The 1,460-nt window shown below is 36.6% G+C and overlaps 1 non-coding gene across 1 annotated transcript; it reads left to right on the top strand.

Moving 5' to 3' along the window:
- The first annotated feature begins 1,027 nt into the window (after positions 1–1,027).
- On the top strand, positions 1,028–1,111 carry MIR466 (microRNA 466). The gene has a single exon (NR_130459.1). It is a non-coding gene; the product is annotated as a microRNA 466 (primary transcript).
- Positions 1,112–1,460: the final 349 nt, after the last annotated feature.

The raw sequence follows: 1,460 nt of genomic DNA, 5'->3' as shown, positions 1-1,460 counted from the left end.
AGAGGTTGTAGTGAGCTGAGATTGCGCCATTGCACTCCAGCCTGGGCAACAAGAGCGAGACTCCATCTCAAAAAAAAAAAAAAGAAAGAAAGAAAGAAAGAAAGGAGGTCTCTGGATCAGAATCTTCCTTTTCAGGATCCTCTGCAAAGGAAATTCCACTGGGGAGGTAGGTACAGCAGCAGTTCCTGACTTTGATATTAGAGTTGTAGAAGCATGAAAAAAATCTCCCTACCCTAAGCATTTTACTCAAGTCATCTTATTCCTCCAATTCTGATATTTCCTACAGCAATTTCCTCAGTATTTACCATCTTGTAATATATGGATTTTTCCAAGCTGACCTTTTGGAAATGAGATGTGATGTAAATAAGTGTACAACTGTATTAAATATATCTTAAAGAAACATGACTTGTGCTTATCTACTTTTCCATTTCTATCATCTGAGGACCGCCCTGAGATCCACTAAGATAGAGTTGTGTTTGGTTGGGATGGGTAATTGTAGAGAAAGGCAGAATAAGCACCAGGGAAGATGAGAGAAGTCAACAATGCCTGGAATTAAGGAAAGGAAAAGGAAGGAGAAATGGGGAAGGGGCAATGAGGAGGATGAGATTTAGAGAAAACCCCTTTTGTTTCTACAGGCTTCCCTGCCATCTCTCCATTCCACATTCATGCCCACAGTTTGTTTTGTGAGTGTGTGTGTGTGTGTGTGTGTGTGTGTACTGGAAGGCATGGGGTAATGAAAACATATTGGCTTAGCTCTGTGACTAACAAGAAAAGTGGTCACTGGTTAAGTTAATGTCTTTGGGCTCTGTGTTCTCATTTGTAAAATAAGGAAAGTGTTGCTTCTAATTCTGAACTTTTGACTCTGATGCAGTTTCTCACTGTGTTCTCTCAAGTTCAACCAGAAAATGAAATGAATCTGAAATCCCTTCAAGTTGTTAAAAATTTGCATATATGTATAACATATGTATTAAGTATACAAAACTTTAAATGTACAACTTTATGAACTTTTATATGTGTATATTTGTATGTGTGTGTATATGTGTGTTGCATGTGTGTATATGTGTGTATATATGTACACATACACATACACGCAACACACATATATACATGCACACACCCACGTAATGGCACCTAGATCAAGATACAGAACATTTACAACACCACAGCCTTGCCTATTCTCAGTCTGTTTTTTAACTTCGTATTGATATTCACGGTCATAATTCACAAATGGAATCATCATACCTTATGTCTTCCTTTAGGTCTGGTCTTTTTTGCTCTTTATTGTACTTCTAAAATTTATCTATGTTGTTCTATTTAGCAATCATTTATCCTTTTTCTTGCTGAGTAGTATTCTGCTACCCATAATATACCATTGTTTATCCACTTTATTGTTGATGAACAATTGGGTTGTTTCTAATTTTTGTCTATTTTGAATGAAGCTTCTATGAACATTCTTGTCA

This window comes from Homo sapiens, chromosome 3 (genome assembly GCF_000001405.40).
Source record: "Homo sapiens chromosome 3, GRCh38.p14 Primary Assembly".
NCBI classification, from domain to species: domain Eukaryota; kingdom Metazoa; phylum Chordata; class Mammalia; order Primates; family Hominidae; genus Homo; species Homo sapiens.
The sequence above is the reverse complement of the archived record's forward strand: the minus strand, read 5'-3'. Positions and strand labels throughout refer to the sequence as shown.